The following is a 22,072-nucleotide window of genomic DNA, read 5'->3' on the forward strand; positions in this document are numbered from 1 at the left end:
GTGGGGCATAAATCCATTCCAATGAGGAACCTGAGGGCACGGCCGGCAAAGTGCCTTTCCTGAGATGAACAGCTGGAAGGTAAGTGGTACAAAAAGAGCCAGAATCCAGAGGCCCCCCCTCCTCTTTTCCATAATGTCTTCAAGGATCTGAGCTGAGTGAAACTTTATAGAATTTGTAACCCAGCGAGGAAAGCTAAGTCACCAGCTGAAAAATAGCTACAAACATCTGAGAACTTTAGCAGAAAAGGAAAAGACCAAACTCTGTTATCAGAGGACTTTGGATTATCATGAAACCTTGACATCTAGGAATCTTGTTCCTGATTGATTAACTTCTCTAACATCTCATTTCCTTATCGGTTGATAGCGAAGTATATTGTTCTGGGATTTTAATTTATAATTTATAAGATGCTTTGATGGCTGGGCGTGGTGGCTCATGCCTGTAATCCCATGACTTTGGGAAGCCGAGGAGGGCAGATCACCTGAGGTCAGGAGTTGGAGACCAGCCTGGCCAACATGGTGAAACCCTGTCTCTACTAAAAATACAAAAATTAGCTGGGCATGGTTGTGGGTGCCTGTAATCTCAGCTACATGGGAGGCTGAGGCAGGAGAATCAGACCCTGGGAGACAGAGGTTGCAGTCAGCCGAGACTGCACCACTGCACTCCAGCTTGGGCAACAAGAGTGAAACTCCACCTCAAGAAAAACAAACAAACAAACAAACAACAAGACCAGATGCTTTCAGGCACTTGTTGGCTGTGAAAAAACAAAGTATGGCTTACTCATTGACATCACTGGAAGTCATTATGGGAAGAATTAAGGGCCTGTTTTGCAGGCCAGTCTCATTGATACTGTTGAAGTAAATATGTTAAATAATTAATAGAGGGTGGGCACAGTGGCTCATGCCTGTAATCCCAGCACCTTGGGAAGTCGAGGCAGGCAGATCACGAGGTCAGGAGTTTGAGACCAGCCTGACCAACATAGTAAAACCCCATCTCTACTAAAAATACAAAAATTAGCTGGGCATGGTGGCATGTGCCTGTAATCCCAGCTGCTCAGGAGGCTGAGACAGGAGAATGGCTTGAACCCAGGAGGCAGAGGTTGCAGTGAGCTGAGATTGTGCCACTGCACTCCAGCCTGGGTGACAAAGTGAGACTCCATCTCAAAAAAAAAAAAAAAAAAAAAAAAGAAATGGGTAAAGTACCTCTTTTGTAAATGAGATCAAGGAACTGAGACTGGAAATTTGACCCATTTTATTGGAAAACCCAGACATCTATATGATGATGTGATGTGGTCTCCGTGGGTGGGATCTGACTTGTGTTAGACTGGAAGCAGCACTTCAGTTAGTACAATACTTGAAGGTAGCTTAGTTACCTGTAGCTCCTACGCGTCAGTTCTAGTTTTCATGCTTCTCCCAGTAGTTAGAGTACTTAGCATCAATATCTTGTTTTTGCCAAATATAGTAGCACCTTCTTAATGCTAGCATCCATGAGGAAAAGCCCTGCAAGATACAATCTATGCCTGGGTTAGCCGGATGGCTTCCATTACTCTTTCTTTCTTTGTTCCCATGGAATTTTTATTCATACTCTCCCCTGTCCACTGCCAGAATTTGCTTTTCCACAGTGAAATCTGTTTACTTACATAGATCCCCTACTAGCGCATGGGATTTTTAAGGTAGGGACAATGCCTTATTCACCTCAGTGTCTACAATTTCTGGCCAAGTCCCTAACACATCAGTAGGTGCTCAGCAAATTTGCTGAATGAATGATCAGTCCCTAAGGGTCAGTTTGCTTAAACAATCAATAGCAGACAAAACCTGACTGGCCTTTGGGACTACCATGGTTTCCTATGCAAGACCCATTGGGCATTTTCACTGGGAGAAGACAATGATGACTGTTACTGCTCCTTACCAACTCAAAATATCCATGGGAGCTGAGGGATGGGTAGGAGGTCCTCCTAACTTCCTGAGTTTAGCTTCCCAACTGCAGTGGTCTTCTCAAAGCTGACTGCAGAGACAGGATTGACCCTGCACACAAGAGGTCTGTCTGAGATTCTAGAGACATAGCTTATGCTCTTCACACTCTTGTGTTTTGCACACACAGGTCCTTGAGTTTTAAGCATGGCTTTTTGACCTTCTCAGTATTGTCTTTTATCTGGAGTGGAAGTGGAACGTGACTTTACCCAGCCTCTACTGTGAGTTAGGGAGGGGTGTTGGCCCCACTGGCCCTGACGGCATCCACACAGCCTTTGCTGTCATAGAGTGACCCTTCTGGCTCCTTTGATTAGTGATTGGCTCTCCTCCATAGCAAGGGCTGGCAAAGGGTTCCTAACTCTGTTTAAGTGAAATCTGAAACAGGTTGCCAATGGTGCCTCTCTTCAAGACCCCAGAGCCAGCCTGGAAGGAACACCATGAAAATGTTGCAATAGTCAATGAGTAGAATGTGGACTTTTGTGTCAACCACACTAAGGGTCGTACTTTTTTCATTAAGAAAGTATTAACGTGTGTTTTTTGAGAAGGGAGGAAGAATGTGTGCTATTCCTTTATTCTTGCTATTAAATCATAAAGCTGGGTTATATAAGATCCTGGAAACTCAGCCTTTATGAACAGAATTAATAAAAGTTTGAAATGTCATTGATCTCTCAGTGTTTCACTTGATAAAGCAATAAAATGCTATTCACAGCTGCATGAGGCTACACCCTTCTTTTGAATGCAGATGCTATTACTTCTCCTTTGTTTTCTTTGAATTGCTTTGTCCACCCTAGAACTTTTTGAGTGACATTACTAAACCTTTTCTTATGCCCCGTGGTGTCTCCGGTAAGGGTTAGACTAAATTGGTGAAGTTATATCATTAAAAGTTTAGTATAGTACTTATTCTGATAAAGATATCTATCCATATATATCTATATTAGTATATATGTTGTATTATATTTTCTGGGGTAGATAGTCTTTATTTGGTCCTCTTTTCAGAAGATATGTCGTCTCAACATGTGTTTCAGAAAATAAAGTACCTGTAGTCAGTGCCGATAAGTGAAATTGATGACAGTTTTTGGAGGCCACAACTATGTGCACATTCAGAAACTATGAGCAGTCTAACCTGTTGGAGATTTTTAGACAAATTTCTTTAGGAGGAATATATTTTAAGACAATATCCTCTTTAGGAGAAATAAAGGGAAGAATTATCTGTTAACCTCCAAAGTAGTATGTTTTCCTATAATTCTGTTTTTGGTTACACATAGAGTTGAAGTCTTCCATTATTTATCAGCCAAATATTCAGTGAGAAACTACAAGCTGGGGTAGAAAATGAGACTTAGTTTCTGCCTTGACTGTATTCTAGTTGGGGTGGGAAGTGGAAAGACAATCACTAGATAATATTTCTAACACTGTGGCAAGTGTTAAAATAGAGGTATATACAAAAGTAAAATAAATAACGTTTAGCTCTGCTGGAGAGAGGTATTGGGGAAGGTTCAGCTTAGTATTTGAAGATACCAGATGCAAGTTTACTGGAGTATTATCCTTGCAGGCTTGATATGAAGTTTGAAATTTCTCCCCAAAGAGATTTAGTTAACAGGCAAATATCCCATGGGAGGTATATGTCAATAGGTTATACAACATTACTGTCAGTCTTTTACAACTTAGCGTGAATTAATTTTCCTTCAGGAAATCAGTCATCTCTGGAGCAGAGACAGGAGGCCAGGTGTTAATAGGAGCAAAGAGAAGAAAAGGCCTGGGCAGTGCTTGGACATAAAAGACCTGAACGATCAGACCCTTCCATGGGCTCCCTTTAAGAAGAGCAGGGAGAGACCAAGGGCTAAAGTTGGGAGACTGAGAAAATGCAGCCCACCGGGGCATTACTTATTTCTCCAGCTCTGATCCGCTGTTGTACTAGGGGTCTAATCCGGCCTGTGTCTGCCTCCTTCTTGAATAGCCCAGAGCATTCATCTAAACAGCCTTCCTACAGCAGCTCCCCACTTTAGGTGTGGCCAGACAGGAGTTCTAGACCAGGTTGTCTCCTGGGACATTGACACCGCAGCCAAGTTTATTGGTGCTGAGGCAGACACAGTTGGTGTGGTTGGTTCAGGGGCTAGCATTGGAATAGCGTTTGGCAGCTTGATCATTGGTTATTCCAGGAACCCATCTCTCAAGCAGCAGCTCTTCTCCTATGCGATTCTGGGCTTTGCCCTGTCTGAGGCCATGGGGCTCTTCTGTTTGATGGTCGCCTTCCTTATCCTCTTCGCCATGTGAAGCTCTGTGGGGGTCACCTGCCTGTCCCTGCTGCTGCGGCTGCACACCATTCTTGGTGCTGGGCTGTGCTAAGCTTTACCATTGAACACAACGTTTCTGAAAAAAAAAAAAAAAGAGCCAAGCATACAGTGGAGCTCAAAGGGACTTAGAGATAATTTTAAAAAGACTTAGAGATAATTTTAAAGAACATTTTCCTTTTTAAAAATTATGCAATACTCCAAGCATTCAGAAAATGATAGAGAATAATAAAACGAACACCCATATACCGATCAATCATCTTTTTGAACTTAATATTTTGCCTTAATTATTTCAGATATTTTAAAGAAAAAATATAACAACAGTTGCATTGCTTTGTATGTATCCCTTCACTGCTCACTCCACTGTCCTGTTCCTCTTTCTTCCTCCCCAGTGGTAACCATTATTCTGAATTTACAATTTCTTCATTCTACTGACAAGAATACTGAGGCCTGGAGAGATTGAGTGATTTGCTCAAGGCCACAGAATCTGTTTATGTCACATTTGGGACTAAAAACCAAGGTTCTTATCTTCAATTTAGACTTTGTTAATTAGCTCAGATCTGAGTAGGTGGCAGTACAGTGGGGAGTGGGCAATTCAAACCAAAGACAAACAGAGAGGTCACAACAAATATTGTTTTGTTCTGCTATGTGCTAAGTTTGTTGTTGTTATTGTTCTGTTTTGTTTTGAGATGGAGTCTCGCTCTGTTGCCCAGGCTGGAGTGAGTGCAGTGGTATGATCTTGGCTCACACCAACTTCTGGCTCCCAGGCTCAAGCAATTCTCCTCCCTCAGTTTCCCAAGAAGCTGAGATTACAGGCGTGTGCCACCATGCCTGGCTGACTTTTGTATTTTTTAGTAGAGACAAGGTTTCACCATGTTGGCCAGGCTGGTCTTGAACTCCTGACCTCAAGTGGTCTCCCAAGGTGCAGGATTACAGGCATGAGGCACCGTGCCCAGCCAGTTTTTGAAATTAGGCATTTTATTAGGAAAAGCCGTATAAATGGTTATGTGGGTTTGCAGTAGAATTTACTTTCAAGTCAGCTCCACCAGGAATAGTTTAAAGATCTCATAGGCATCTGTAAAGAATAACAAACGTTGCCTATATTTACAGCCATACAGTCTTATTTTTAAGGTTTGATCTATGCAAATACAGTATTATATATACTTCATGTAATGTGTAACATGTAGATTATAAAGTATATGAATAACTTTTCAAAGGAACACAAACTCTTCACAGGACAGTCTCTGGTTTCAGTGCAATACAGTTTGGATCTGAGTGGATGATGAATTATAAGCCATAATAATCTGACACTGTGTCAAGAGCAAATTTGTGTATATATATATATGTACATATATATTTATGTGTTTGCCTATATATGTGTATATATGTGCATGTGTGTATATATGTATGGGGTATATATATATAGTATGTATATATAAGTGTGTATATATAGGTGTGTGTATATGTATATGTATGTATATGTATGTATGCATATATATGTATATGTGTATATATAGGTGTATGTATATATGTATGTGTATCTGTATATATATAGGTGTAGGTATATATGTATGTGTGTCTGTATATATACATGTGGGTATATATGTGTGTGTGTGTGCGCGCGTGTGTGTATATATATATATATATATATTTATGCATGTGTAAATTGAAAAGTAAGCAGTCCAAATTTTCCCTTTTACAGACAGACACCAAACCAGTGCAGATGATGAACATGGAGGCCACGTTCTGTATGGGAAACATTGACAGTATCAATTGTAAGATCATAGAGCTTCCTTTTCAAAATAAGCATCTCAGCATGTTCATCCTACTACCCAAGGATGTGGAGGATGAGTCCACAGGCTTGGAGAAGGTAAGGAGAAGGCAGGTGCTCTCCACAAAGGCACCCCCTGCCTTGGCAAAGAGTTGTGCCAACAGGTCTGTGTGGGCCGTGAGAGCTGGGCCGGTAGCCCTCCCTTATTGCCACTGGCTCAGTCACCTCCAAGGACCCATGGTTCTTTCTGGGGCCTTTCCTCCTTAATATTAACAACAGCCAAAATTTATTTGGCACTTACAGTGTTCTAGGGACTGTGCTAAGTTGCCTACGTGCATTATCTCATTTAATTCTTACAGCAGGCTGATGAGTTAGAGACTGTTACCACACTCTTGTTTACCAGTGAGGGAGCTGAGGCACAGAGGGGTGGGTAACTGGTTACATAATTAGTCAAGGGTGTGTGCAGGATCAGGATTTGGGCCCAGGTAGTTGGAGCCAGGTTCTTAACTGAAGGCTAGAGTGTCTCCCTCACCTCCTAGGCAGTTAAGGCACTACGTTGCTACGCACTGCCAGGTCCACTATCATGTGACCTGATGTCAAGCATCCTCTCTCTTGCTCTTTCTTTTTTTTTAAAATTAGTAGATGTTATTTTTAGAGTAGATCTATGCCTACAGAAAAATAAGCAGAAAGTACAAGGAGTTCCCATATACTCCCCTTCCCGTCCCAGGCCTACAGTTTCACCTGTTATTAGCATCTTGCATTAGTTTGGTATGTTTGTTACAATTGATGAGCCAATACTGACATATTACTATTATTATTATTATTATTATTATTATTGTTTTAGAGACAGGGTCTTGCTCCATTGCCCAGGCTGGAGTGCAGTGGCATGATGGTAGCTCACTCTAACCTCAAACTCCTGGGCAGGCTGGAGTGCAGTGGCATGATGGTAGCTCACTCTAACCTCAAACTCCTGGGCTCAAGTGATCCTCCTGCCTCAGCCTCCCAAGTAGCTGGGACTAAAGGCACACAGCACTATGCCTGGCTTTTTTTTTTTTTGTAAAGGTGGGATCTCACTGTGTTGTCCAGGCTGGTCTTGAAATCCTGGCCTCAAGCAATCCTCAGCCTCAGCCTCCTGAAGTGCTAGGATTATAGGCATGAGCCACCACACCTGGCCTTCACAATTTACGTTACGGTTCACTCTTTGTGTTGTACATTTATGAGATTTTAATACGTACACATATATGCTTCAAAATTTTGAATTATGCAGATACTATTTTATAGTACACATTATATATAAGTATTTTATTTTATATGATAAGGGTTATTATATTATTTTATTTATATAGATTTTTAAGGCACAAAGTTTAAATAAGAGTAGCAGTTTTCTCTGCAGGTGAATGGAGTTTTAGCTTCCTCTCTGCTCCCTCACCTCTGCTTAGCTGGCTGAGGCCTGTTCTCCCTTTAGTCCCTCCCTGGCTTCCATTCTAGCTCCACCCCGCCTGGCCTCAACCCTTGGCCAGGAAGGAAGAAGGGGCTCTTTGAAGGCCTGGATCACTTGCTATATATCCACATGGGCCTCAGTGATTTGCTGACTTTCCAGGGGACCATCCAGTCTCCAGCTTGCTCCTTTGGTTGCCATTATGTTTTAGCCACCACTTTATTAACTGAATTATAATTCCTGTCCTTCTTCTTCTTTGGTGCATTACTCTCTCTGTTTTTTTTCTTTCCATTTTATGCTTTGATCTTTCAGCCATTATCCAGCTGTCTTGGATTTTACCTTTCGTTCTTAAAACGCCCTCCAATAAACATCAATTATTTTCTTCTTCTTCTTCTTTTTTTATTTCAATAATTTATTTTTCTTTTTTTTAATTATACATTAAGTTTTAGGGTACATGTGCACAATGTGCAGGTTTGTTACATGTATATACATGTGCCATGTTGGTGTGCTGCACCCATTAAGTTGTCATTTATATTAGGTATATCTCCCAATGCTATCCCTCCCCCCTCCCCCCACCCCACAACAGGCCCTGGTGTGTGGTGTTCCCCTTCCTGTTTCCAGGTGTTCTCATGGTTCAATTCCCACCTATGAGTGAGAACATGCAGTGTTTGGTTTGTTGTCCTTGTGATAGTTTGCTGATAATGATGGTTTCCAGCTTCATCCGTGTCCCTACAAAGGACACGAACTCATCATTTTTTATGGCTGCATAGTATTCCATGGTGTATATGGGCCACGTTTTCTTAATCCAGTCTATCATTATTGGACATTTGGGTTGGTTCCAAGTCTTTGCTATTGTGAATAGTGTTCCAATAAGCATACGTGTGCATGTGTCTTTATAGCAGCATGATTTATAATCCTTTGAGTATACACCCACTAATGGGATGGCTGGGTTAAATGGTATTTCTAGTTCTAGATCCTTGAGGAACTGCCACACTGACTTCCACAGTGGTTGAACTTGTTTACGGTCCCACCAACAGTGTAAAAGTGTTCCTATTTCTCCATATCCTTTCCAGCACCTCTTGTTTCCTGACTTTTTAATGATCGCCATTCTAACTGGTGTGAGATGGTATCTCATTGTGGTTTTGATTTGCATTTCTCTGATGGCCAGTGATGATGAGCATTTTTTCATGTGTCTGTTGGCTGCATAAATGTCTTCTTTTGAGAAGTGTCTGTTCACATCCTTTGCCCACTTGTTGATGGGGTTGTTTGATTTTTTCTTGTAAATTTGTTTGAGTTCTTTGTAGATTCTGGATATTAGCCCTTTGTCAGATGAGTAGATTGCAAAAATTTTCTCCCATTCTGTAGGTTGCCTGTTCACTCTGATGGTAGTTTCTTTTGCTGTGCAGAAGCTCTTTAGTTTAATTAGATCCCATTTGTCAATTTTGGCTTTCAATTATTTTCTTCTTAAAGTATAGAACTAAAGAAAATGACCTTTTGAGTTTTGGAAATGATTTTTTTTTTTTTTTTGAGATGGAGTCTTGCTCTGTCCCCCAGGCTGGAGTGCAGTGGCATGATCTCAGCTCACTGCAAGCTCCGCCTCCTGGGTTCATGCCATTCTCCTTCCTCAGCCTCCCGAGTAGCTGGGACTACAGGTGCCTGCCACGACGCTTGGCTAATTTTTTGTATTTTTAGTAGAGACGGGCTTTCACTGTGTTAGCCAGGATGGTCTCGATCTCCTGACCTCGTGATCCACCCACCTCGGCTTCCCAAAGTGCTGGGATTGCAGGCGTGAGCCACTGCGCCCAGCCGCATCTCTCTCATTTTTTAAAACAGCTAAAATGGATGCATTCACTACCTATGACCCTAGGGCATGGCTCAGAGTTAGTTCAAATTCCCATTAAAAAAAAAAAGTAACTTTAGCTTTAATTTAATTTTCTAAATCTGATGCCATTCCTAGTACATGAATATTCTGGATTTCCTCGTAGAGAAATTACAATAAGCATTCAAGAAATATGTGTAAAAAGCTTTCTAATTTTATATTCATTTCACTATTGTGTATGCAACATCATGATCCAGGCATTTGTTTCTATAAATCTACTCTCTAACTTAAGGTTGGGTGCGGTGGCTCACACCTTTAATCCCAGCACTTTGGGAGGCTGAGGCTGGCACATCACTTGAAGCCAGGAGTTTGAGACCAGCTTGGCCAACATGATGAAACCCTGTCTCTACTACAAATACAAAAGAAAATTTAGCTGGGCATGGTGGAGTGTGCCTGTAATCCCAGCTACTCGAGAGGCTGAGGCACGAGAATTGCTTGAACCCAGGAGGCAGAGGTTGCAATGAGCGACGATCACACTATTACACTCCAGCCCGGGTGACAGAACAAGATTGTCTAAAAAAAACCCAAACAAACAAACAAACAAACAAAAAACTACTCTCTAACTTAAAATGAAAAAACAGAACCCTGTCCTCATAAATTTCAGTGCACATGGAACACTGTTATAGGCTGGGGAGGAGGAGGACACAGCTGGGTGGCTGCTGGGTCTCCTGAGTCACATACCAAAAACTTCTGGGCCATCTTTGATGTTCCACCCAGACTGCTTTGAAGCTGGGCTTATCATAACACCTTATGTTTTCAATTGAGCCAGGTCTTTTACAGTTGGAAATAAATAAAAATAATTTCTTTTCATTTTTGTCCTTCAGATTGAAAAACAACTCAACTCAGAGTCACTGTCACAGTGGACTAATCCCAGCACCATGGCCAATGCCAAGGTCAAACTCTCCATTCCAAAATTTAAGGTGGAAAAGATGATTGATCCCAAGGCTTGTCTGGAAAATCTAGGGCTGAAACATATCTTCAGTGAAGACACATCTGATTTCTCTGGAATGTCAGAGACCAAGGGAGTGGCCCTATCAAATGTTATCCACAAAGTGTGCTTAGAAATAACTGAAGATGGTGGGGATTCCATAGAGGTGCCAGGAGCACGGATCCTGCAGCACAAGGATGAATTGAATGCTGACCATCCCTTTATTTACATCATCAGGCACAACAAAACTCGAAACATTATTTTCTTTGGCAAATTCTGTTCTCCTTAAGTGGCATAGCCCATGTTAAGTCCTCCCTGACTTTTCTGTGGATGCCGATTTCTGTAAACTCTGCATCCAGAGATTCATTTTCTAGATACAATAAATTGCTAATGTTGCTGGATCAGGAAGCCGCCAGTACTTGTCATATGTAGCCTTCACACAGATAGACCTTTTTTTTTTTTCCAATTCTATCTTTTGTTTCCTTTTTTCCCATAAGACAATGACATACGCTTTTAATGAAAAGGAATCACGTTAGAGGAAAAATATTTATTCATTATTTGTCAAATTGTCCGGGGTAGTTGGCAGAAATACAGTCTTCCACAAAGAAAATTCCTATAAGGAAGATTTGGAAGCTCTTCTTCCCAGCACTATGCTTTCCTTCTTTGGGATAGAGAATGTTCCAGACATTCTCGCTTCCCTGAAAGACTGAAGAAAGTGTAGTGCATGGGACCCACGAAACTGCCCTGGCTCCAGTGAAACTTGGGCACATGCTCAGGCTACTATAGGTCCAGAAGTCCTTATGTTAAGCCCTGGCAGGCAGGTGTTTATTAAAATTCTGAATTTTGGGGATTTTCAAAAGATAATATTTTACATACACTGTATGTTATAGAACTTCATGGATCAGATCTGGGGCAGCACCCTATAAATCAACACCTTAATATGCTGCAACAAAATGTAGAATATTCAGACAAAATGGATACATAAAGACTAAGTAGCCCATAAGGGGTCAAAATTTGCTGCCAAATGCGTATGCCACCAACTTACAAAAACACTTCGTTCGCAGAGCTTTTCAGATTGTGGAATGTTGGATAAGGAATTATAGACCTCTAGTAGCTGAAATGCAAGACCCCAAGAGGAAGTTCAGATCTTAATATAAATTCACTTTCATTTTTGATAGCTGTCCCATCTGGTCATTTGGTTGGCACTAGACTGGTGGCAGGGGCTTCTAGCTGACTTGCACAGGGATTCTCACAATAGCCGATATCAGAATTTGTGTTGAAGGAACTTGTCTCTTCATCTAATATGATAGCGGGAAAAGGAGAGGAAACTACTGCCTTTAGAAAATATAAGTAAAGTGATTAAAGTGCTCACGTTACCTTGACACATAGTTTTTCAGTCTATGGGTTTAGTTACTTTAGATGGCAAGCATGTAACTTATATTAATAGTAATTTGTAAAGTTGGTTGGATAAGCTATCCGTGTTGCAGGTTCATGGATTACTTCTCTATAAAAAATATGTATTTACCAAAAATTTTGTGACATTCCTTCTCCCATCTCTTCCTTGACCTGCATTGTAAATAGGTTCTTCTTGTTCTGAGATTCAATATTGAATTTTTCCTATGCTATTGACAATAAAATATTATTGAACTACATGTCTTGTTTTTTTTTTCCTATTAAGTTAGACTATTTTGAAATAGAACCAAGCCGTGCGTTTACAAAAGCATCCCTGAAGCAGGCAGATCACAAGGTCAAGAGATTGAGACCATCCTGGCCAACATAGTGAAACCCCGTCTCTACTAAAAATACAAAAATTAGCTGGGCGTGGTGGCGCCCACCTGTAGACCCAGCTACTCAGGAGGCTGAGGCAGGAGAATCGCTTGAACCTGGGAGGCGGAGGTTGCAGTGAGCCAAGATCAGGCCACTGCACTCTAGCCTGGCGACAGAGCAAAACTCCGTCTCAAAAAAAAAAAACAAAACAAAAACTCAAAACATAAAAACAACAAAAACAAAACAAAACAAAAAGAACAAACCCCAAAAAACCCCAAAGCATCCCTGTAGGTAAAATGCTCTTTTGAAGATTGAGGCAGACTAAAAAGAAATAAGAATAATTACTTCCTCTTTTCCCTTGTTTTCCTTTCTTCCTAGCCCTCAGCTCTGACTTCTTTCTCCCACACTCCTTTCATCCTAGGGAGTAAAAGACCAGGGCAGTGCTAGAATGACTCTCAACTGCATAAACATCTATAATGGAATCAGACACCTTGGGACATAGAGATCTTCCCAGCCCTTTTCACTCTAAACCCACCCTCAAAAGTCATTATATTAGGACACTGTATGTGCTTAAAACATTGTTTCTTCTTATGAAGAGTGTTTTTCTCAATGCCATGCACATTTGTTTTAAATTAGTTATGGTGTCCCTGAACCTAATATTCAACATAGCCTCTTTTCTGTCCCTATTGTGTGCTTGAACTAAACGTGTCTCCTCTTTCAACAAATGATGAGTACAAAAGCTGACAAATGCCCCCACATCCTTAAAAGATTATTTGTGTGGGATTGCTGGGGGTGGTCAAAGCCAGATTTTGCCCGCTTGGTTCATCATCCCTCTTATCCAGGCTATGAAATACAAAATGTGAGATGACTGTGAAAAACATTAGTGAGTTTTTAGAGGAAGGGAGAGATTTGTGCCTCTTTAAACCAAGAATGCAGGGAGCTTAAAGTGTCTCCTGCAATTTGGAAAACACTGAAAATTTTGGTCATCTTATCTGGGACAGTCTTAATTCAGTGATTTTTCAACCAGGGGAAATTCTGCCCCCTAGGGGACATTTTCATTGTCACAGCTGGGGTACTGTCATCTAGTGGATAGTCTGGGGGGTTTTGTCTAGGATGAGGAGGAAGATGAAAGAGGGTCGGTTTGGAAAGGAAGAATTCAGTGCATTCTGCAAGCACCCTGCCCAGCCCAGCTCACTAGCAAACTGGTCACAGGTATATTATCTCATTTTGTCCTCTCCACAGACCTTTCAGGAGGAAACCATGATCCCATCTTATAAATGAGGACGCTGAGACAGAGAATGGATAGACAACCTACTCAAGGTCACAGAGCTAATGCATGTTGGTGGCTATATTTGAACTCATGAAGACAGACTCCAGAGCTGGACTTCCTAACCTCTCTGCTCCATGCCCTCTTCCAACTGACAGCGATCCCTGACAGGGGTCACTGAATGAACCTGAAAGAATTCCTCTCTTCCAGACCTTCTCTATTTAGGAGGAGTTCCAAATATTTGTCATATCCTGGCAGTCCTTTCCTTGTCAACTAAAACATCCCTAGAGTCAGAGACAGTCCACCAGTAAGGGGCCCAATTACTGCCTTTGCTTATTCTCACAGTGACCCTGAAGTTAAGGGCCATGCCTATCTATTTTATGAGGAAATATGGGCTTAGAAGAATTGGATAATGCCTCCAAATGGGTAAATAGCAGGGCTTGGATTTGTGAACATTATGACTATGAAAACATATATTTAGTTATTTCCTTACTGATGAATATTCAGCTAGTTTCTGGTTTTTCTGTTATAGATAATATTACTATGGACACCTCTATACTTAATCATCTGTAATTATTATTATTATTATTATTTTTTGAGGCAGTCTCTCTCTCTGTTGCCCAGGCTGGAGTGCAGTGGTGCAATCTTGGCTCACTACAACTTCCCTCCCTCCCAGGTTCAAGTGATTCTCATGCCTCAGCCTCCTGAGTAGCTGGGACTACAGGCATCTGCCACCCCACCTGGCTAATTTTTTGTATTTTTAGTAGAGACGGGGTTTCACCATGTTGGCTAGGCTGGTCTTGAAATCCTGACTTCAGGTGATCTGCCCGCCTTGGCCTCCCAAAGTGCTGGGATTACAAGCGTGAGCCACTATCTGTTTAAGATTTCTAAAATCTTTGTGATTGATATGTTATGAATATATCACAATTTATTCATTCTACTCTTGATGGACATGTGGGTATTTCCAGGTTTGGGCTATTACAAATAGTACCATTGTGAATATTCTAGTACATGTTTTTTGGTGAAATATGTGTGCATTCCTGATTGTTACACACACACATATATATATTATATATATATACATTTTATATATATATAAAATGTATATATATATTTTAGTGGTTTTCCCAGTGCCTCTCTATCTTTCATTATGATTGTATAATAATTATGAGTGATTACTTTTTCCAACTATGACTCCTACCATCACCACTGCCATTCTTGGAGAAATTATTATGAGCCAGACACTTTGCTAGACATGACATATGTTATAATTCAGCTTCCACAGCAACCCTATGGGGCACCATTTGAGGTGAAAGGTGCTAAAGTTCAGACATGCGACACAAAAAAGCTTGCTGAGCACAGATGGCTACTGAGTTATATGGTTAGGACTTAAACCCCAGCTCTCTGACTCCACAGTCCATACTTTTTAATCACTATGATTTGATTATATTACAAAACTTACTTGTATTTGGCCATAAAAAAGAATTAAATCATGTCATTTGCAGAAACATGGATGGAACTGAAGGTCATTATCTGAAGTAAAATAAGACAGATTAATCATCTTAGGTGAAATAACCCACATAAAAAGACAAATATTAAATGTTCTCACTTATATGTGAGAGCTACGATATTTGATCACATGGAGGTAGAGTGTGGAAAGATAGAGATCAGAGACTGGGAGGGGTGAGCTGGGGGAGGAGGGGAAGATGAAGAAAAGTGGCTTAAAGGGTACAAACATATAGTGAGATCGAAGGAATAGAGTCAATGTTTGATTTCAGAGTAGGGTGACTGTACTTAACAAAAATGTATTGTACTTGGGTGATGGACAGCCACATACCCTGACTTGATCACTACACATTTTACACATGACATGGAACAAAATTTCATGTGTGCCCATACATTTTTACAAATAAAAAATGAAAGAGACCTAAAGTCCCTTTAGCCTGTTTAGTGTTGGTTGCTTTGCATCAAGAAATTGATGATTCATAGGAAAAAACAAAACAAAAAGCTTCAAGGGCAGATTTTCCTCTATGTTAAAAATGAAATGTTATGTTGAATAGAAGACAAATGAATGTAGATAAAAATAAAAGTTAAATGTTTACATAATAAGTAAACATTCCATAAATACTTGCTTTTCAAATATGTCTGGTTAAATGTAATTTTTGGAAAATTCTGTTTCTTTCTCAGGAGTCCTGTTCAGTCAACTGTATGGCATTTGTGATTTATATCAGATTAAAAAGACTTCCCTTCTAAGTTTTAGCTCTTGGACTAGAAACCACTAGCACAACATTCTTACCCTCAACCCCACCCTACAGTCATGGAAGATTTAGGTGATGGGCGTTTCCCTGTTCTTTTGTCCTTGTCACCATCCTCTGCCAGACAGTAACAGCTGCTTGAGTTTGTGAAAGCTTTTTGAGAAAAGAGATCAAACTGTTTCACTAACGGCAAATGACTATTCCTCTCCCAAGGCCTGGAACAGACAAAGGAAATGGCATTATTCTCCATTAGAGATGAGATAGATACAGACGTGTCCCTGGAACTTCTGACCGCATTTGAGGAGTCTTGCCAGTTGCACGTGGCCTGAAATGACAGCCCTCCCTGTCTCTATCACAGGCTGCTTTGCACTTCTCACATCTCCTGGGACAGGATCTATCACACAGTAAAATAAATACCAAGGCATATTTTCAATGGATGGAAAATAGAGTTTGAATGGGCAGGTGATCTATGTGTTTGTGTTGGTTGCCTCTTGCATCTAATGAGGGCTTCTCTGATGACATAAAACAAGATCGTCTTGTGTTTCTGAAAGTGTGTCTGGAGGAACAGTAGTTGTGTAGGGTATGAGAAGCTGCTATGAAATAGGAGTCCGTGGTTGAAAAATCTTGAAAAAGCTGTTTTGAACCAAATTAAACAGGTTCTGCAGTACTCTTCAAGCTTTCAAGAAGTTGATGTGGCCGGGCGCAGTGGCTCACGCCTGTAATCCCAGCATTTTGGGAGGCTGAGGCAGGTGGGTCACCTGAGGTCAGGAGTTCGAGTCCAGCCTGGCCAACGTGGTGAAACCCTGACTCTACTAAAAATACAAAAATTAGCTAGGAGGCTGAGGCAGGAGAATCACTTGAACCAGGAAGGCGGAGGTTGCAGTGAAAGGAGATTGCACCATTGCACTGCAGCCTGGGCAACAGAGCAAGACTCTGCCTCAAAAAAAAAAAAAAAAAAATTGACGCAGTTGACGTCTTTTCTGAATATCTGGAGGAGGGTACAGTGTCTCGTTCCTTATTTATTTTATTTTATTTTTAGAGACGGAGTCTCGCTCTGTTGCCCAGGCTGGAGTGCAGTGGCATGATCTCGGCTCACTGCAAGCTCTGCCTCTCGGGTTCACGCCATTCTCCTGCCTCAGTCTCCAGAGTAGCTGGGACTACAGGTACACGCCACCACGCCCGGCTAATTTTTGTATTTTTAGTAGAGACGGGGTTTCACTGTGTTAGCCAGGATGGTCTCGATCTCCTACCTCACGATCCGCCCACCTTGGCCTCCCAAAGTGCTGGGATTACAGGCAGTGAGCTACCGTGCCCGTCCTGGTTTCTTAAATTTATACGACCTCTAAACCTGGTAGTCACCCTGCATCTTGGAGGACAATTGTTTAGTAGAGTGAGTTTTGGGAAAAGTCAACTTAGCTGGGAAATAGACTTAGTAAGAAAAATCAAGATTTTTCCGGTTGCCATGTGGATACTATGGAAAGAACCCTGGTGTGGGAGGAAGCCCTGGATTCCAGCAACCAAACCACTCCTATCAATACCTGTATATGAGGGAGGGAGGGTCTTTATCTCAGGGATTTCTGAGATTCCTCTTGAAGCTAATAGTTCACGGGGCCCAAACAAATCCTCCATCCTGAGCCATCCCTCACCCATCCATCTATGTGGAGACGGCTGCCATTTCCATCCCTAAAAGCATGGTCAAGGGTCTGACACTCCTCTCTGACACTAGGAACAAAGGTTGTCCTCCCAAAGGTGAAGAGGCATGATTGCTATGTGCGCCGCCCCCCTCCCCCCAACTTTGGCAGGAAAATGAGAACAAGTGAGGCAAAGACTCACTTGTTATGTCAATTCTAGGACCACATATTAGTGGTGAAATGACTTTTTCTTTCCAGCAATCCCAAAGTTACTGAGGGAGGTAGGAAATGTCAAGACAATGCAACCAACTTCTCTTCCACACCATATAGCTGCTTTTCCCCTGCCCAAATATAAACACAGACTTGCCTCTTTCTTGCAGGCTGCCTAGTCTTTTACTGTTTATTCAGGCTGTTGCCCACACGAGCACCATTGCATACAGGTGTGTAGGTAGATCCCTGCACAAGGATATCCTACAGAGATGGTTAGAGGGAGCTGAAGTCAAGCTTGTAGTCCACTTGCATAGCAGGGCTCCAGGGTGTGGGGCTGTGCCTGTCTGAGAAAGGGTCACCTCTTTTGCATTCACAAAAAGATAGGGTATAGGCTAGCAGTGGCCCTGTTCAGTACTCAGAAAAATTTGCAGAAGAAAAAAGAGCATCATTACATCTTCAGTACTACTATCATTACCATTACTGACATCATCATCATCAATTCGATATGTTACCTTGCTAAGATAATGATCCTCTGTAAAATTAGGGCAATTAGGAGTATATAGATTTTAGGAGCAAATAAGCTGATGAGAAGTAGGCTCTGCTTAGGAGGATGGACATACCCTGGGGGAGAGCATGAGTGAGGGGCGCTGGTATCAGCTGATTTATTGCAAGGAGCAGTCTGATAGCCGTGATGACATGCTGAGACCTGACTGGAGTCAACCTGGGGTCCAAAAGGAGTCGTTGCCATCTCTAGTTCCATCTTTCCTTAGGGAGGATGCCTGGATAAAGGGAGCTGGATGCCTAAGAACCAAAGCCTGGGTACTGGAGAGATGGACACTTGTGCACAGCACCCAAATAAACAAGCCTTCTTTCCTTTGTCAAGAGCTGCTGTCGATAGCTAAATTTAGTCAGCCGCTAGAGGGAGGTGCTGGGAAGTTAGGATGAGCTGTTTTCTCTTGCCCTTAATTCTTCTTGCTGATTTAGGGGAAAGCAGGAACTCCGCGGATTGGATAATTAGGTCAATGGCTTTCCACATAGAGAACAGGTTTTCCCATCGTTGGGCAGGTGTCATTGCAATGTTGCTGGCCTCAGAGTTGGCCTGCCTGAGCTGGCGAACAGGAGACCATTTGGATATTGTTCTCTTTGTTACCAAAATTCATCACAGGCACTGATAATGGAGGTATAGTAAGCATTAAAGAAGATTTGCACTCTGTATTCAATAATTTTAAGCACTTCATTCCCAGTCATAAATTTATTTTTTCATTTAATAACATTGTATTGAGCATCCAATAGACAGCTATCTGAAACGACCTAACTAGACCCTCATTTGCTGTCTCCATCTTGTCCACAAGGTTATCAAGGAAATTTTCGTCAATCTAATTACTCATCTTTTCATTAATTCTTTGGATAAAAACTTATTGGCCAAAGTGTGGGAGAAGAGGTAGGAATAAGACACAGAGCTCATAGCCGTGTAAGAGAAAGTGAGCCGCGAGCAGAGCTGCGATGGGTTATTGGAGGGGCGCTGGAGCAAGAAGGAGGACTCCCGGCTCAGTCTGAGCTGAGTCTGAAAGGACCAGCAGGAATTAGTTAGGAAAACAAAGCCGGGGGGCTAGTGGCCCACACACAGCAAGGACTCAGGAGAAAGGAAATGGCTGTGGGGTCGCGGTGGGTGGTGAGTGTAGGCAGGACTGTGCATGACACCCCAACACTCTAGGAGGTTGAAATTCATCCCAAGGACGATCAGGAGGAGGAAGACAATTCACAGAGGTGCCTGTCAAACTACCTACGGTGAAGGAACAGTTTCCCCCTTTATATTACCAATTCATCATAGACCAATACTTAAGTAAAACAAAATAAATATGAGTTCCAAGGAAAGTAAAATAAAAAAATGAAGACACCCAAAACAGAAGCCCTAGCTTTTCATGATTAGTTTCGACATACATAAAATTACTTGGTGAAGTTTTCCTAACAGTTTCTAGATTCATAATCTCCATTTCTATACTTACGTCATGATGGCCAAGTTTCAGAATCCACAGACTGCCACAGACATGGAGCCTCCTGAGAGTCTCAGTAGTTGAAAGGAGGGCAGAGGAGAGCTCAGATTTGCATTTTTGAAAAGTGTACCTGGCCAGTGGCTGGTGAAGCCTGAAAGAATGGATACAGGTGAGGAGGGAGTTGAAGTAACCCAGGTGAGAGTGTGTGAGGCCTCAGCTTCAGCAGTGGTGGTGGGGATGGGAAGGGGATATCAGGATATGCGCTCTGGAGAGCCATTTTCCCAGTGTAGACACAAATGGGTGTGGTGATTTATTGGGTAGGGATGTGTGGGTGAAGGACCACAGGGGTATTGTGATGGTTCTTCATTTTCAGGCTTATACAACTTAATGGAACCATCTTGGACATGGGAAGTGCAGTGTGACTGTGTACAGGACTCCGTTTTGAAGGGCAGGGCTCTCTGCTGGCATCTCCAGATCTGGAAGATGGTTTCAGATGATAACCATAGGCCTCTATGAACATTTTTAGAAAAGTCCCTGTGTTTATTATGGACAAAGTTTATTATTTTGCAACATCTAAGTTTCATAGGTGTCCTGAATTGAAAATGTAGAATAAAAAGAGTTAGCCAATTAGCTGGTTTGTAAATATCTTTTTGTTGTAATTGACATAAAAGAGGCATCATGGACATGGAATTGTTAAACTGCCTCTGAGCAGTGTATATTACAACTTGTTTACCAGGTTGGCAGCAGAGGGGCAGAAGGAAGGATAAAGGGAGAGAAGTATGCAGGTGCGTTCATATTAACATTTTGTTGATAGCCATTGATGTGTGTGCATCTCTTTTGGCTGTACTATAGGAACATACTAAGTAATTCAATGGAAACATACCTTCTTGCTAATACTTTAATGGTATAGATCTGCTGATGAATTCTCTTAAGAAACATTATACTCAATGTATTCTGTTGCTTTAGGTTTCATTTTAAATTGAGCATTAAGGGAGTGCAGTATTCTGACTGGAACTCTGCTAATGCTTTTATCTAGAGGTCTGTTGCCATTTTTGACTTCTATGAAATTTTTGTCCCAAGAAAGGTGGGGTTGCATTTTTTTCTAACAGCAAAAAAAAAAAAAAAAAAAAAAAAAAAAAAAAGGGCAGGATGGGGAGTAGGGTTTTTTGTTTGTTTTCATTTTTAACATGCTTTTAGTTGCTTTTAGTTTTAGCTATGTTGATTTTGAGATGCCAATGGGACATTCAGCAAGAGACAGGAAAGGATACTAGTGTTTCTAGAGGCGAGAGATGAATCAGCTTATGGTGGGGTCCAAAACCATGGCTGGGAGAGAGCATCAGGAGAAGAGAGTGGGCTGAGGGCAGAACCCAGGGAAGCCAGGATGGGTGGCCCGCCAAGGAAGAGGAGCCATAGAGAGACGGGATGATTTTAAGAAGGGAGTGATTTGGAGAGCCAAGAGCCCAGTGCTACAGAAGACCCAGCTCCCTTACAGACTGAAAAGTTCCTATTGCATTTTCACTGACCTGAGCAAGAATGATTTCGGAGGCAAGTCTGCAGGGTTTTCTTGCTCTATTAGCACGTTAATATTATCCACAGAAGGAATTCAGCCCATTTCAATTGCAAATTCCTGACGAGTAAAGCTATGACAAGGGAACAAAACTTAAGGGAACAAATCCTGGAAACCTGTTATCCAAGGCACCCACCTGTGAGGTGAAAAGTCATCTCCAAAGATTAAAGAATGCCAACATAAAGGAAGCCCACTCTGAAACTCAAGAAAAATTTGATTTGCTTCCTCTTACCTTTGTACACCTCAGTTTCCTACTAGTTTAAGTTTATGTAAGTAACCTTTAGCGAGTAGCCTATAGCTTAACCCTCTTCCCTGTAAAGGAAGGGGAAGAACGAGGTCACTTCTATCTTCCTCCATAGGAGAGGAGAGCGCCTTGTCCAAAGCTCAGTCAGCCCCTCTCCTGCTGCAGCTGAGATTCACCTGAGCTCTTGGCATGCAAATGGCGGTGTGGAGGTAATTTAGGAAGGGATTGGAGATTGCTCTTTATAAGCATAGAGACAGTACTCACGTTACAGCTGTTTTCAGAAGGTCTTATTAGCATTTATCCCGGATTTAAAATAATTTTAAGTGAAGTATATTTAACATTTGCCTAATATTTAAGACAATCCTGGATGAGTTCGCTAAACCCCTCCCTCGCAACTTGTACTTCTAGCTTTGCCATTGTCTTCTCTAACAGTGCGAAACAGAATTTTCATTTAAACACGGGGTCAAACCTAAAAGATGACCCATGATTAAAAAAAAAAACAACAAAAAGAAAACACTGTTTGATTGATTGATTCATTATTTATTTTCTTGGAGTCTTTCCAGATACAACAAAACTAATACCATTCGTTCAAGATACCACGTAAGATAGTAAAATAAAGTACATCTAGGCATTGACTTAGGATCTCTGAGTGTGGGAGAAATATTGGCTGCTGCGTCAAAGACCGAGGCCTTGGTCTTTGAGGTTCACAAAGCCCCAGGGCTGCCAGGTGGTGAGGTCAATAGGAAATGTCTGAAATTAGAGCTTGTGTGTTTATGAAATACTGGGTCACGCAGGCTGAGGGGTTCTGTGAGCATATACAGAATAGTCTGAAGGCACTTGCGGTTTTATCAGTTAGTGCATGGGG

The 22,072-nt window shown here is 41.6% G+C and overlaps 1 protein-coding gene and 1 pseudogene across 2 annotated transcripts in view, besides 1 other annotated feature; both read left to right on the plus strand.

Moving 5' to 3' along the window:
- SERPINB5 (serpin family B member 5) overlaps positions 1-11,924 on the plus strand; it is a 28,128-nt gene extending 16,204 nt beyond the window's left edge. For both annotated transcript variants that reach the window (NM_002639.5, XM_006722483.4), the window contains 2 exons: positions 5,959-6,126; positions 10,169-11,924. In NM_002639.5, the coding sequence (NP_002630.2) occupies positions 5,959-6,126; positions 10,169-10,561 (561 nt within the window). In that variant the 3' untranslated portion in view covers positions 10,562-11,924. The remainder of the gene's footprint in view (positions 1-5,958; positions 6,127-10,168) is intronic.
- On the plus strand, positions 3,781-4,342 carry ATP5MC1P6 (ATP synthase membrane subunit c locus 1 pseudogene 6; annotated as a pseudogene).
- Positions 18,038-18,558: an enhancer, noted in NCBI's record as "OCT4-NANOG hESC enhancer chr18:61178432-61178952 (GRCh37/hg19 assembly coordinates)". NCBI's record gives its function as "activates a minimal SCP1, AML or CMV promoter by ChIP-STARR-seq in primed H9 embryonic stem cells {active_cell/tissue: H9 hESC(primed)}" and the evidence as "EXISTENCE:reporter gene assay evidence [ECO:0000049][PMID:30033119]".

This window comes from Homo sapiens, chromosome 18 (genome assembly GCF_000001405.40).
Source record: "Homo sapiens chromosome 18, GRCh38.p14 Primary Assembly".
NCBI lineage: Eukaryota > Metazoa > Chordata > Mammalia > Primates > Hominidae > Homo > Homo sapiens.